Source organism: Homo sapiens, chromosome 1 (genome assembly GCF_000001405.40).
Source record: "Homo sapiens chromosome 1, GRCh38.p14 Primary Assembly".
In the NCBI taxonomy this organism is placed as follows: domain Eukaryota; kingdom Metazoa; phylum Chordata; class Mammalia; order Primates; family Hominidae; genus Homo; species Homo sapiens.
In genome coordinates, this window is record NC_000001.11 from 151907814 (window position 1) to 151923281 (window position 15468).

General features: G+C 43.2%; 1 protein-coding gene and 1 long non-coding RNA gene across 2 annotated transcripts in view, besides 4 other annotated features; both read right to left on the reverse strand.

Annotated features, from left to right (window-relative positions):
- Positions 1-1698, reverse strand: part of THEM4 (thioesterase superfamily member 4) — a 38646-nt gene extending 36948 nt beyond the window's left edge. Inside the window, exon 1 of the mRNA NM_053055.5 lies at positions 1547-1698. Within this exon, the coding sequence (NP_444283.2) occupies positions 1547-1645 (99 nt within the window). The 5' untranslated portion in view covers positions 1646-1698. The remainder of the gene's footprint in view (positions 1-1546) is intronic.
- Positions 1425-1734: a silencer, noted in NCBI's record as "silent region_1330". NCBI's record gives its function as "represses an Ori minimal core promoter by ATAC-STARR-seq in GM12878 lymphoblastoid cells {active_cell/tissue: GM12878}" and the evidence as "EXISTENCE:reporter gene assay evidence [ECO:0000049][PMID:35858748]".
- Positions 1975-2094: an enhancer, noted in NCBI's record as "active region_1727". NCBI's record gives its function as "activates an Ori minimal core promoter by ATAC-STARR-seq in GM12878 lymphoblastoid cells {active_cell/tissue: GM12878}" and the evidence as "EXISTENCE:reporter gene assay evidence [ECO:0000049][PMID:35858748]".
- Positions 2083-2670: an enhancer, noted in NCBI's record as "NANOG-H3K27ac hESC enhancer chr1:151882372-151882959 (GRCh37/hg19 assembly coordinates)". NCBI's record gives its function as "activates a minimal SCP1, AML or CMV promoter by ChIP-STARR-seq in naive and primed H9 embryonic stem cells {active_cell/tissue: H9 hESC(naive and primed)}" and the evidence as "EXISTENCE:reporter gene assay evidence [ECO:0000049][PMID:30033119]".
- Positions 13980-14274: a silencer, noted in NCBI's record as "tiled region #4547; HepG2 Repressive non-DNase unmatched - State 24:Quies". NCBI's record gives its function as "represses a minimal TATA promoter and a strong SV40 promoter by Sharpr-MPRA in HepG2 cells {active_cell/tissue: HepG2}" and the evidence as "EXISTENCE:reporter gene assay evidence [ECO:0000049][PMID:27701403]".
- The window catches only part of LOC124904421 (uncharacterized), a 31359-nt gene continuing 30355 nt past the window's right edge, over positions 14465-15468 (reverse strand). Inside the window, exon 3 of the long non-coding RNA XR_007066624.1 lies at positions 14465-14739. This is a non-coding gene — a long non-coding RNA (uncharacterized LOC124904421). The remainder of the gene's footprint in view (positions 14740-15468) is intronic.

The following is a 15468-nucleotide window of genomic DNA, read 5'->3' on the forward strand; positions in this document are numbered from 1 at the left end:
GCACTCACAAGACAGTTGGGTGGGGTAGCTCCCTGGCCCCACTTCTTTACTGGCTGGGGTGCATGGTGGTGTCTGCAGCATGTGTGTGTGGTGTCCAGTAGCCACACAGGGCATAAATGAGCCACAGCCACTGCCCAGGCTCCAAGGCGCCGGCATGGCTGGCTGGCGTTCCCTACCAGGTGCCTGCAGTCTCCCCCTCCCCATTCCAGGGAGTCTAGCTCTGTCCCACAGCAATTAAGCTCCTCTCTCTGGTGGAGGAACCATTTGCATAGGAATAAGAGGTTCTTCCCCCAGGCATCCTTATCTCCTCTCCAACCCATCAGCAGTATACTTTTAAAGGAGGTTTTTCTTTTCCTTTTGGAAGACGTTTTGCTCTTTTGGGAATGATGAGGATTACCGTTTATATTTTCTGTAAAGTTTTGTGCGAAAGGATTTGTGAGGTAAGTCGTAAGCTGTAGCCAATCTGTGTGTTTTGCATGTCTTTCTGTATGCTCCACAGCAAACTTCGCTGCAGGCCTCCATCTTGTTTTACGTCCTTGGGGGCGTGGCCTGTAACCCCATTGCATAGCTTCGTTTAGCCCGGCATGGCCCAGATTCATCCTGGCTTAGGGAATGAGTCCTTTCTGGTTTGGTATCTGTATGCCCTTTCGCTATTTGTCGATTCCCCTGCCCTCCACCAACCACCTTGGATTTTCCTTTCTCTGAGCCTTTAAGTAAAGTTTGAAAGCCAGAAATATTGGCCGCTTGGTGGAGCTAAAGTTAGATAATAAGGGTGTTAAAAGAATTTTCTTAAGGAGTGCTCAGCTTAATTAAAAGTAGATATCTAAGTTGTAATTATATTTATAAGGCCTTTATGTTTTCCTTTTCTTGGACCTTATTTTGCTGGAAAAAGTGTTTCTTTGCGGTCGACTGAGTTATTTTTCTCCATTTTGCCTTGCCACTTTTAATGCCTGCATAAGAGGGGCGATCTCTGTTTTCCTCATGGAACCCCAGGAATTAAAAGCAGATAGATCCCTCTCCCTGTGATGAAAGATCTTATGGCAACTGGGTTTTCTTCTGCCTGTCTGTGTAGTTATATATGTGTTGTGTGTGATGTCTATAAAAAGATCTCTAATTAATTGACCTAAAGGAAGATAAGCGTTTGGATCAAATATTTTTTTAAAGGGAAGATAAAAGCTGTGGTATCTTTTAGTTCACGTCACTTTAATCTTTGAAAAATAAAAACAGCCTCAAATATTATTGGTAAAATACAGATGTTGTCAAAATATAAATAGACAGACTAAATTATGCAGTTCAGGTAGCGCCCTGCCGACCCTGTCTCTTAAAAAACAAAAAAACGGGGTCACCTTTCCATCCCTTTTCTAACGGTTTGAATCTCAGGACTGTATTCCTAGGCCCCTGTTGCTTATGCTGCCCTGTGGTGCCCAGGTGAGCTTTTATTCTGAGATTGGCTGGTTGGGGTATGGATAACAATCGAAGGCTCTGTTACCGCAGGCGTGTTTCTGAGTCCTGCTCCCGCCCCATGCCCGAGGGTGCCCAGACTCACCAGCTCGGGTCGCGGCTCGCTTCCCGGCAGGCGCCGGCCTACTGGCGGCAGGCACAGAGCCCCCAGCGTGCGGAGGCGCGCGGCGCAGCTCCTCAGCATGGCTCCGGGCCGCGGGGCCGCGCTTGCTCTAGCCCTGGACGGCGCACTCTACCTCCGCCACAAGAGCGCGCGTGCGAGTTAACCCCTGGGGTGGACGCAGGGCGGGGCTTGGGGAGGAGGCGGTGCGCACTACTGGCGGCTGGCTGGCCGGGGTGTGAGGCCGGCGGGGTCCGGGTAGGGCATCGCTGTTGAGTCTATCTTCTGGTTCCGGCCTTTTCTTTCCGAAGACCTCCCGCTGCGGCCAACAGCCGGGCCACTTCCGGGGCTTCTCAAAGGCAAGAGGAGCGCGGCCGGAGCGGATCCCGGTTATCGCCTTGGGCCCCTCAGCCCCTCAGCCCCGGAACCCGCGCGCCGACTGGAGGCTTTGCGGTCATCCTTCCCACATGACCCAGGGCGTACGCAGTGCTCCGTGTCCCCAAGTAGTTATCCCTCCCCCGGAAGACTGAAGTCCCTGGGGCGGGTAGGAGCGCACGCTAGGAGTAGTATGAATAAAGTGTTTTCTTGGAGGTCATGGGCAAGTCTCTGGACAGGGTTGATAGTGCTGATTTATAGAGGGCAGTCTGGGCACAAAGAGCATTTATACGATCGAAAAGCTGCTTTCCCTGCCAACAGCCCCATACCCTCCCCAGGAGCGCGCTTACGCCTTAAAAGACTCTTTTGTTATGTAAACTGACAGTTAAATTAAACGAAGGTAATGGATACTAAAGGCGTAACAGGTATTGTAACTATTTTACTGTTATCGATGCTTTTGAGGTTACTTACCTCGCTTGTATTCGTATGGTGGGAATACTAGGCGCATACCTTCTGAGCTTCGAATTCAGTAACCTCACTGGGACCTTGAAATCGGACTGGGTTGGAGTATTCCCATTACTCAGATAATGCAAATCCGGGCCATCATACCCCTTTATTTTTAAATGCTTACCAGTATGCCATAGCCCTAGTCCATCCTAAGGTGAAGACTCTAATGGGTTTTTTTTGAGACAGAGTCTCGCAGAGATACTGCTATTGCACTTCAGCCTGGGCAACATACTGATGCCCCATCTCAAAAAAGCAATAAATTAAAAAGAAAACTCGAATGACCTGAATGCATTAGATATTTTGCCTTGATTCCTTTCCCATGAACAACTCCAGCAGTTTGTCAGTAGGTAAGAACACCTAGATACATTTTAAGCCTACACTATTAACTGGGGGAAGGTGTAACATTCTGAGAGAAAGGGAATTGGGGAGAGAAGGCAATGCAGTTAGGAGGGGCCCCTTGGAATCCTAGAGCTACTGAACCGAAGATCAGGCATAAAGGATGGTTGTTGAGATTCTGTAATTCTAAGAGGTTGTATTCTGATATCTCCTAAGCACCCCCCCCAACCTCCCACATTCCCTTTATCTCAGTTGTCTTCCTTTTTAATATATTAATAGTATTGCAGTTTCCTGGTGGCAGGGATGGGGTCAGATTGCCTTATTAATTGTAACAACGTGCACGTAGTGCTTGAATACTTACTTAGCAGCAAGAATCCAAAGTATCTTTGGTGTCTGTTGTCTTCCCATGTTGTGCGTGCAGATGGAGGCACGAGCATAACGTAAATCTCTAAAATTGAGATGACTACTGTTAATGAATAGAAAAGTTTATTCAGGTAACTTAAAATTGCATCTATTTACAATTTACAGTGTAGTCAAATCAATCAATACCTATAGACTTCAACCCTGCTAAGATTGTCTATATGATTAATGTACCAATAGCTCACCTAACAGCTTCCTTTTGTTTTTTTGAGATGGAGTCTCACTCTGTTGCCCAGGCTGGAAGTGCAGTGGCATGATCTTGGCTCACTGCAACCTCTGCCTCCAGGGTTCAAGCGATTCTCCCTGCCTCAACCTCCCGAGTAGGTGGGATTACAGGCGCGTGCCACCACATCTGGCTAATTTTTATATTTTTGGTAGAGACGGGGTTTCACCCTGTTGGCCAGGCTGGTCTTGAACTCCTGACCTCAAGTGATCTGCCTGCCTCCCAAAGTGCTGGGATTACCAGCATGAGCCACTGCACTCGGCACCTATCAGCTTCTTAAAAGACCTTAGACTTAGGGCAATTAGAGGTCAGTTACACTGAGTTTAAACTTCATTAAATTTTAACTCTAAATTTTTCAAGTAGCGGCAGTGCATTTAGTTAAGTCATCCACACTCTTGCATGGCTTACTCTGGGATATTCGTGTTGACAGCACATATAAAATGTCTGGTCAGATTTGGAAGAGGAAGGGCAGGTTACAGTCTAGAAATAGGATTGATAGGCTATGGAAGTGAAGGAGTTTGAAGCTTGTATGGTTTAGGCAAGGAACAAATGTTCAATCTTGATAGAACTAGGCTTCGAATAAGCCAATGGTATGAAACTTAATAGTCTTCTCACCATTCTTTAATTTTGTAGACAGCTTTATTGAGGTGTAGTTGCCATAGGATGGGCACCGTGGCTCATACCTGTAATTCCAGCACTTTGGGAGGCTGAGGTGGGTGGATCACCTGAGGTCAGGAGTTTGAGACCAGCCAGGCCAACATGGTGAAACCCCGTCTCTGCTAAAAATACAAAAATTAAGGCCGGGCGCAGTGGCTCACTCCTATAATCCCAGCACTTTGTGAGGCTGCAGCGGGCAGATCACGAGGTCAGAAGATTGAGACCGTCCTGGCTAACACGGTGAAACCCTGTCTCTACTAAAAATACCAAAAATTAACCGGGCGTGGTGGCGGGCGCCTGTAGTCCCAGCTACTCGGGAGTCTGAGGCAGGAGAATGGCGTGAACGTGGGAGGCGGAGCTTGCAGTGAGCCAAGATCGCGCCACTGCACTCCAGCCTGGGCGACAGAGTAAGACTGAGTCTCAAAAAAAAAAAAAAAAAAAAAGTTAGCCAGGTGTGGTGGCGCATGCCTGTAATCCCAGCTACTTGAGAGGCTGAGGCAGGAGAATCGCTTGAACCTGTCAGGTGGAGGTTGCAGAGAGCCGAGATCGCGCCATTGTACTCCAGCCTGGGCAACAAGAACGAAACTCCATCTCAAAAAAAAAAAAAAAAAAAAAGCCAGAGGCAGTGGCTCATGCCTGTAATCCCAACACTTTAGGAGGCTGTGGCAGGCGGATCACAAGGTCAGGAGTTCGAGACCAGCCTGACCAACATGATGAAACCCCGTCTTTACTAAAAATACAAAAATTAGCTGGGCATGGTGGCGTGCACCTGTAATCCCGGCTACTCGGGAGGCTGAGGCAGGAGAATTGCTTGAACCCGGGAGGCGGAAGTTGCAGTGAGCCAGGATTGCACCACTGCACTCCAGCCTGGGTGACAGAATGAGACTCCGTCTCAAAAAAAAAAAAAAAAAAAAAAAAGAGATAGTTGACATAAACTGAACATATTTAAAGTATACAATTGGATGTTTTCATACAAGTTTACACTCATGCAAACATCACCATAATCAAGATAATGAGCCACAAAATATTACCCACAAATTTGCTCATGCCCTTTTGTAAATCCTCCCTTCTATCGTACAGTACTTTCTGTCACTGTAGATTAATTTCCATTTTCTAGAGTTTTATATAAATGGAATTATATAGTATGTACTTTTTGTGGTCTGGATTTTTTTAATTCACTATAACTATTTTGAGATTCATCCATGTTTTGCTTATGTCGAGAATTTATTTTTTAAAATTGCTGAGTAGTATTCCATTGTATGGATGTACCACAATTTTTCTATTCACCCATGGATGACCATTTGGCTTATTTCCAGTTTTTGTGAATTACAAATATAGCTGCTGTGAGTACAAGTCTTTGTATGGATGTATGCCTTCATTTCTCTTGGGTAAATATCTAAGAGTGGAATGGTTGGATCATGTGGTAGATGTATGTTTAACTGTTTAAGAAACTGCCAAACTTTTCCAAAGTTGTTGTATCATTTTACCAGCAGTGCATAAGGATTTCAGTTCCTCCATATCCTTGCCAGCCTTCGGTATGGTCAATCTTTTATGTTTTAGCCATTGTAACTAGATGTGTGTAAGTATTTTATTGTGGTTTTAATTGGCATTTTCCTAATGATGAATAATGTAGGACATCTATGGGCTTATTTTTCATCTGTGTATCTTCTTCATTGAAACGTCTATTCAAATATTTTGCCCATTTAAAATAATGAGATATTTGTATTCTTATTATTGCACTTATTAATGCACCTCTGATAACATTTCACATCTAAATTTTAAGTTAAATTTCAAACCTTCCATTTATAAGAAAACTGAATGTCAGCGTGATGCTAGCTGCTTTAATATTTCTTGCTGAATTTTTCTTGGATTTGTTGTCATAGGTCTCACTCTTGGAAAGGATGTATTCTTGAATTGTTATCCATGGGGCAAGGCACCAAAATGAGTCTCCGGCTGGGTGAAGGGTCCATCTTCCCTTTCAGTAGTGGAAGAAGGGTGACTGTGAAAGAGGAGGTTGAAAAGAGGAATTGCAGGCTCATTTTTAGGTAGATACAATTTATCTGCATCATTAATATTTTAATATAATGTACAGAGTTATTGTGTGGTTTTTTTTAACCATCATACAATATGTCCAAGTAATGTTGTATGGTTCTTGAAGTCATTTTAATCACATGGAGGAGAGGGAGATTTCTACTTGTGGGGTGTCAGGTAGATGGTATTGTCATTTACTACCTGTCATATGCTTTAGCTGCACAGGTCTCCTTTCAGCTCCTGGAGTGCCGCAGGCTCTTTCCTGCCCCAGGGCCTTCTTGTGTGTTGATGTTCTGCTTGTAATGCTCTTTCCCCCTACTCTTTCGTAGCTAACTCCTACTAAATTTTTGGTGTCAGCATAATTGCCACTTTCTTAGGGAGGCCTTCCCTGAACAAAGTGCTTACTAGGTTTCAGACAGTATGCTAAGTGCTTTATATACATGATTTTATTTAATCTGAATTAGGTCTTCATTAAATTCTCTCAGAGTGCTGAAACTTTTCCTTTAAAGCAATTATTATAGTTTGTAGTTAAATATATATTTGTGTGCTACCTGTCTCTCTGAGGAGACTATAGGCTTTTTCCATGTCTCTTTGGTGTACCCATGCATTCAGTGACGTGCAGATCTTAGACACTCAAAAATAATTGTTGAATGAACTAATGAGTGGGAAACATTTGGAAGGAGGGCTGGGATCTTCTTTTCTCTCTCAACTTTTTCTCTTTAGTTGTCTCATCAATTCCCATGGTTTAAATACCTTTTATTTGCTGATGAATCTTAACTTTTTATCTCTAGTTCAAAGTTCTCTTCATTTAATCATCAGGATAATCATGTGAGATTACCATTATTATCCCTATTTTACAGCTGAAACACCTGGAGAAAATTATATATTCCCATGCCATCATCAAATGTAGGGTTTCATGGATGTTATGATATATTCCCAAGAAAGTTCTGATATATCATTGTCATTACAGAGTGCTGCAGCACCATAAGACAGGGTGAACATTAAAAAAAAAAAATTAAAAAATACAGAGTGCTGGGTTGGTCTTTTTCAACATTGCCTTTGTTGAATTCAGAGTTAAGGGCATCTGTAGGATTTGTTATGTAAAGACACCTGGATTGACAGACCAACCAAGCTGTTACATGAAAATTCTGGTAATGAGTGAGGTGGGATGAACTGGATAAGCAGCAATCTTTACAGAATTCTAACTTAAGAAAGCTTATTTTTGCCTTGGTATACTGTGAATAATAAAAAAGTATCATTTATAAATACTTACAAATGCTTAATATAGATTTTGAGTCACCAACATGTGACTAAAGGAACAAATCCACTTCTGTAGTTGTGGGATCACTGCAGGCCAGACTTCCTTTAGTATTGTATGAAACCATTTAGGGTTGACACTAATTCAAATATCTTAAGAGTCTCAAAAAGAAAACCTACAATAGATGAATAGTGAAACTGTCCTTGTGCAAGTTACTAAATCCCTGAGCAGGTACAGTAGAAGCTAAGTCTTGAGGGACAAGTTGGAGTTGGCCCAGCAAATGAGGCAAAAGAGGACATTGCAGGTTCTGTGTCAAAGGACAGCATGAAGTCACCTGGCAAGTTCAGGACACTACTGAGAGTTTCCGTGGAGTTTGGGCATCCAGTAAGAGGGGGTTGTGGTGAAAGATGAGGCTGAAAAGGCTGGAGAAGCAGGCTGGGGCTTCAAGATCCCAAAGGACTCTATTCTCCTATATGTGTTTAGAGATCACTCTGGAGGAAATGGAGAGCTACAGGGAGACTGTTACTAGAGGACTGGCATTATCTGATTGATATTTTAGAAGGATCATGATAGAGGCTCCGGGGAAATTGCATTGGAATCAAGGAAACACTTGAGTGCTTTGTGGGGATTGATAGAGTGAGGGGATTTGGTAATGGATGAGGCCAAGGGCAGGGGAAAGAAGGAGGACTAAGATGTTATCCAGGTTTCCTGGACTACAAATTGTGGAGGTACCCTTTAGAAAGGGAAAAGGAGGAGTATGTTTAGGGGCACAGGGAAGAAAAGTGAGTTCTTTTCTGGATACGTTGTGTTGAAGGTACCGCAGAGATAATAGAATAGTTTGGAACTTAAGATAAAGGCCTGAAAGTGTCCTTTTTTTAGAACACAGAACATATTAGAGACATCAGTAAGAGCAGCTGAGGTGGGGAGGTGAGGCTGGAGGAATGAGTGGGAGGTAAACATACAAACAGGAGTAGACTGACTACTCTTCAGACCTCTTATAGTGAGAAGAGAGGACAGCAGCCAGAGGTGAAGAAAGGATTGTTTTTAAAGAAACATGGTGCTTTCTGTTTTTTAAATACTGAGAAGAAAGTCTAACGATCAAGTTTGATGAGACTAAATTTATGTTGCAAACATATGAGTCTTATAGTGTTTATCTTTGATAGAAATGGGGGTGACTGTAAAGAGAATAATTATGTTTCTGAGGAAAAACTATAGTACACCTGTTATTAGGTTTTACTCCTATTCATTGTTTTCAAATTTTTATTGTCTACCTGTATACCGGACTGGATCCTGTATTCTAGTTTCCTTCAGTATCTGGCTATAATTTTCCAACTAAGAACAAAAATTGCTCTGTTCCTAAAGCCCCAGAGCTGAAGCTGGACAACTCAATGTAAATTTTAAGGGACAAGCCTCATGCCCGATGTGTGGACCACACCAAGTTCACCAAACTGCCCGATGCCATAACCAGAGACATTCAAACTACAAACCCACATGAGTTGTTAACTTTATCATGGGGAGTTTTTCTCAAGACTGTCGGAACAGCTGAGTGCAATGGCTCATGCCTGTAATCCTAGTGCTTTGGGAGGCTGAGGCAGGTGAATTGCTGGGCCCAGGAGTTTGACACTAGCCTGGGCAACGTGGCGAAATCTCGTCTCTAAAAAAAATACAAAAATTAGCCAGGCACGGTGGTGCATGCCTGTAGTCCCGGCTACTCAAAAGGCTGATGTGGGAGGATGACTTGAGCCCAGGAGGTGGAGGTTGCAGTGAGCTGAGATCATGCCACTGCCACTGCACTCCAGTCTGGGTGACAGAGCTAGACCCTGTCTCCAAAAAACAAACAAACAAATAAACAAACAGACAAAACTGTCAGAACAAGACCCTGCCATAATGAGACTATTATTTCCCTTAATTTTTCCTTGTTTATGCCTATCTTTTTTGTCTGGCAGAATAATGCTATCGTTAGAATTTCACAATCAGTAGCTTCTGTGGGTGACTTGCAAATTGTCATTCCATACTTTAACTCAGTCATGAGATTTTCTATTAGCTGAACAAGAAGGAATCATTGCAGTTGCTAACACTTCTTGTTGCACAGGGATAAATACATCAGGTATCATAGAGACTGGGCTGAAAAAATAGACTGGCTACTTGGTTAAGATCGATATACTCCTCATCTGGCTCATTCTTCAATCTATTCTATTTTAGTTGGTTTGTTTCATGAGGACCCTAGCTAAGGAGCATACTCCAGACTCTTGATAATATCCTCCTGAGAGTAATAATAGTAGTCTGTCTGTTGCACTGTATGCTCTCAAAAAGTTTTAAATGTTTGTGGCCGGGTGTGGTGGCTCACACCTGTAATCACAGCACTTTGAGAGGCTGAGGTGGGCGGACCACCTGAGGTCAGGATTTCGAGACCAGCCTGGCCAACATGGTGAAACCCTGTCTGTACTAAAAATACAAAAATTAGCTGGACATGGTGGTGCGTGTCTGTAGTCTCAGCTACTCGTGAGGCTGAGGCAGGAGAATCGCTTGAACCTGGGAGGCAGAGGTTGCAGTGAACTGAGATCACACCACTGCACTCCACCAGGGTGACAGAGCGAGACTCCATCTCAAAAAAAAAAAGTTTTAAATGTTTGCATACAGCCATCTGTTGAATGTCAAATAGTCTGTCTTTGGCTGGAATAACAAAAAACTCAAAGAAATGCATGATGATGAGGACACTAACCTATGAATGATGTGTTGAGACTGGAAACCTAAAATGATGGTAACTGAGACTAGTGCCAATGCCCTTAGTTTTGGTCAGGTTCTCACTTGAGCCTTGACCAAAAGGGGAAAATTGTTAAATAAAAATTATAGGAGGCCATTGTTTTGGACTAAGCTCCTGCACTAGGCCCCAGCAGATCAGAATAAAAATCAAAATGGAGCCAGTCATACTAAAGTTTAATGTAACCAAACCAAAACTAAGTTGTTATTTGATCTTCCTAGAAATCAGGAGAGAGAGAACAGCTTAATTTCCCAAACGGGCATGATAATAAAGTTTCGTCTGCCCTAATCATTACCAAAAAATGTAACCTGATGTTAACAATTAGTTATTTCTCCATTGTTCTGTTTCCTCTTCTCACTGTACAAGGAAAGTAACTGTGAAATGAGTTATCCGCTCTTTGTTCTTTGTTTCTGCTTTCTTCAGCCCTTCTGTCTGTAAAACCAATCTCCTCTGCTCAGCTCATTGGAACACTATTCTGTTTTATAGAATGAGGTTTTGTTTTATTCTAGAATTGCAAATAAAGCCAATTGAGGTCTTCAAACTAAATATTTTGGAATTGTATCCTTTGACACCCCCATTAAGCACTTTCTATATCTAGCCTCTGCCTGTTTCAACATACTCAAACCTCTTTCACATAAAACAACAGTCATGACAGCAGAAACTCTCACACCTATACCCTTCATCCATTGCTACCCCTCTTTCCACCAAAGACAACGTTCCAAAAAAAAAAAAAAAGAAAAGAAAAACCCAAACCAACTTACATTTAAAAAACTCTTTTTGTTCTGGCCCCAGGTATTATTGAATTGTCATTCACAACTGCCAAGTTTAGTGAATATTTGTCAAGCCTTGTCTTACTTAATGTCTTCACAGCAATTAAGAGTATAAATCACCTTTCTTTAAACTTCCTTTTCCCTTGGTTTCCATACGAACTCATCTAAGTTTAATTCCTATATCTCTGGAAATTTGTTTCTTCATGGAATCACCTACTTTCTTATTAAATTTGGGAACATTTGCCCTTTGGACTCTCTTCTCACATTGTGTGGCCTTCTGGCAACATTAGCTACTCTTTGCCTAGATTCTGATAGAAAGCTTGGGTTTAAATTTGACTCTGACCCTTCCTGGCTGAGGGACTGGATTTTCCAAATAACAACCAATTCTTCAGTTCTCTGACACCAATGGGGTGTTCTACATTTGAATTAAAATCTGACACTAACTACACCGGGTTAGCACAGACCCCATGTTAACCTTGTGCTTAATCCCACAAGACTGCCCTCACTTCAGACACCACAAATGGGATTCCCAGACTACCTACACTTTTGCCTAACCAACTATTAATTCTGGGGTTCCCATGACCTCTTTCCTCTTTAGTAATTCCCTATGTGACCAGAAAGAAAAAAATAGATGCCACTTTATCAACTAATATGGACCCAAAGGTTAAGGAAACAAAATTACCTATGGGTCAAGGGTTCAGGGCCTGGCTGGCATGGCACATTTTGAAATTCCTATGACTAAACTCCCTAAAAATAGGAGCAATCAGGCCGGGTGCGGTGACTCATACCTGTAACCCCAGCACTCTGGGAGGCCGAGATGGGTGGACCACCTGAGGTCAGGAGTTCAAGATCAGTCTGGCCAATACGGTGAAACCCCATCTCTACTAAAAATACAAAAAATTAGTCAGGTGTGGTGGTGGTTGCCTGTAATTCCAGCTACTTGGGAGGCTGAGGCAGGAGAATCTCTTGAACCCGGGAGGCAGAGGTTGCAGTGAGCTGAGATCGCGCCATTGTACTCCAGCCTGGTCAACAAGAGCAAAACTTTGTCTCAAAAAAATAAAGGAGCAATCACCTCTGATTTACAACCAAGACCACTGCAACTCTGATTGGACACAGGACCAGTCTTACAAACATTCTTTCCTAATAAGCAACTACAGACCTCAAGCCAGTTTTAGCCAGCTTATAGAGGCTGCACACAAACCATCTTTGTGTCCTACAGCTCACCTTTTGACATAAAGGCCAACTTCTACTTCATTTTCATTCTAAAATTCTGCCCCAAAGTGAACATAGGATTTATGTAACTATGTTTACCCATTAAACATATATGGGGCTCCCCTCATAAATATGTATAGCCTTTCTCTCAAACTTGCTGAATATCTATCTATTATACTGGTCCTGTGAGGCATAAAATCCAACATATTCTTTCCCTTTGTTAAATGAAGTTTAGCCTAAAGCTACATATTTTAAGTTCTGCCTAAAGGTTTCTCTGTACATAGTGAACAGTAAGCTAAATGGAAGTGTAAACAGACTGCAATCTACTCTTGTGCCAGCCACTGAGTTTTGGTCAATCAAATGGGGAAGCTGTTCAAATTGTGTTCAAATAAGGCAATCGCCAAGTTATAACCAACCCACCTGTTTCTGTACCTCACTTCCGTTTTCTGTATGTCACTTTCCTTTTTCTGTTCATAAATCTTCCACCACTTGGCTGCACTGGAGTCTCTCTGAGTCTATTCCAGCTCAGGGGCTGCCTGATTAATGAATCGTTCTTTGCTCCATTAAACTCTGATAAATTTAATTTGTCTAAGGTTTTTCTTTTAACACCTTGGAAAAGAGTGTTTTCTTTTAACACCTTGGAAGAGAGAGCACCTTTGGTCCACACTGGAGCCTCTCTCCTGGCTTGCAAACTGATATCACCAATAAAATTCTCCTTTCTACTATTTAGCCATTCTCATGGTCTTTTGGATGACACCTAAAATGATTCACAGAGCTCAGGAAACACTATACTTATGGTAACAGTTTTATTATAAAGAATACAACTCCAGAACACCCAAATGGAAGAAGAGATGCATGGGGAAAGATATGGCAGGGATGGGGGTGTGGGGTACGGAGAGGGTGACATAACTTCCATGCCCTCTCTGGGCATGCCACCCTTCCAGTACATCAAGTTCACCAACTTAGAAGCTCCCCATGTTATAGAACCGAGCTGGGGTCCACTAGCCCAGTGCAGTAAGAGCAGATATCCACACCGAGGTTTTGCAGCTATGGAAAGGAAGGCATTTGTTTGCAAGGCACCAGACAGCTGGTGCTTAAATCCTGACCCCCTGATGGCTTGCAGGTAATGGTTTTTATTTTTATTTATTTATTTTTTTTTGAGACGGAGTCTCGCTCTGTCCCCCAGCTGTAGTGCAGTGGCGCGATCTCAGCTCACTTCAAGCTCCGCCTCCTGCGTTCACGCCATTCTCCTGCCTCAGCCACCCAAGTAGATGGGACTACAGGCGCCCGCATCAAGCCCGGCTAATTTTTTGTATTTTTAGTAGAGATGGGGTTTCACCGTGTTAGCCAGGATAATCTCGATCTCCTGACCTCGTGATCCGCCAGCCTCGGCCTCCCACAGGCAAGATCATAAATCAATACATGAAGGCTACACATTGGTTTTGGCCTAAAGTGGCAGGATAACTTGAAGGGGATGGCTTACAGGGTCATAGGTAGACTCAAATATTTTCTGATTTGCAATTGGTTAAGAAAGACAAGCTTTGTTTAAAATTTGGGGTCAGCAGAAAATGTTAGATTTGCTTTGTGGTTGTGACTCCATCCAGGTTCCTCAGGAAGAAATTTAGAACAAAGAATTGAGGCAGGAGCATAGCAGAGGGAACTGGAGGTTGGATAAAGGGTGGAATGAGTAGGAGCAGAAGAAAGATAAAGAGGCAGGTGAGCAAAAGCAGAAGCAAGACAAGAAGCAGAAGTTGAGCAAAACCAGAAGTAAGATACAGAAGTGAGTAAGGAGCCCCATGGTTGGCTAGATCTGGACTAAACCAGTAAGGGGCAGCTCCTAAGAGATGGGCATGCCCGCTAGAGAGAAAATATATCCTTAAAATGACCCCACAATTACCCATGGTGATTAGCTACTTAAGGCTCATGCATATGGGCTGTATATCATGCATGTACTTAAAATTATGGAATGGAAGTGTCACGCAAATGCACAGAGGCCAAGAAACTGAGCAACCCACCTGTCAATCAAAAGGCACATGCTGGCTAGAGATTAGGTAGTTTGGGGAAGAGAAGAAAAAAACAGGCTGGGCTCAGAGGCTCACACCTGTAATCCCAGCACTTTGGGAGGCCGAGGTGGGTGGATCACTTAAGGTCAGGAGTTGAAGACCAGCCTGGCCAATGTCGTGAAACCCTGTCTCTACTGAAAATACAAAAAAAAAAAAAAATTAGCTGGGCATGGCAGCGCACACCTGTAGTCCCAGCTACTCGGGAGGCTGAGGCAGGAGGATCTCTTGAACCTGGGAGGTAGAGGTTGCAGTGAGACGAGATTGTGCCACTGCACTCCAGCCTGGGCGACAGAGCAAGATTCTGTCTAAAAAAAAAAAAATGACCCAAAATACACCAAACTGATCTCATTTTTCAGAGGTCAGCCTGCTCTTCCCTCTCCGAGAGTGTGTTATTGTGCTTGATAAACTTTTTGCTGCTTTGCTGTTTGTGCGTGTCACTTCCACTTCTTTGTTCAGGACACCAACGGCCTGGAACTGTGCAGGACTATCCAGTAACAGAATGGGTGGTCAGAGTTCAGTCTTCAGTGCTCCTGTAACCACCCAGTGGGTTCTCCTTGCCTGCTGCCTAGACAGAGACAGTTTATCAAGACAGGAATTCCAATAGAGAAAGGCTTTAATTTGTGTAGAGCCTCCGTATGGTAGACTGGAGTTTTATTATTACTCAAATCAGTCTCCCCCAAAATTTGGGGATTGCATTTTTTAGGGATAATTTGGTGGGTAGAGGGTTGGGAAGCAGGAATGCTGATTGTTTGGGTGGGAGATGAAACAGGGAATTGAAGCTATCCTCTTGTGCTGAGTCAGTTTCTGGGTTGGGGCCACAAGACCAAATAAGACAGTTTATTGATCTAGGTGGTGCCAGCTGATCCATTGAGTGCAGGGTCTGCAAAATATCTCAAGCATTGGTCTTAGGTTTTATAATAGTGATGTTATCCTGAGGAGCAGTTTGGGGATATTCGGAATCTTGGCAGCCTCCAGTTGCATGACTCCTAAACCATAATTTCTAATCGTGTGGCTGATTTGGTAGTCTTACAAAGGCAGCCTAGTCCCCAGGCAGGAAGGGGATTTTTTTATGGGAAAGGGCTGTTATAATCTTTGTTTCAAAGTGTTAAACTCTAATAAGTTCCTCCCAAAGTTAGTTCAGCCTGTGCCCAGGAATGAACAAGGACAGCTTGGAGGGTAGAGGCAAGATGGAATTGGTTAGGTCAGATCTCTTTCACCATCATAATATTCTGAGTTATAATTTTTGCAAAGTCAGTTTCAGTCCCTCCCTTTGGGTTTCTAAAGGCAGGAGTAA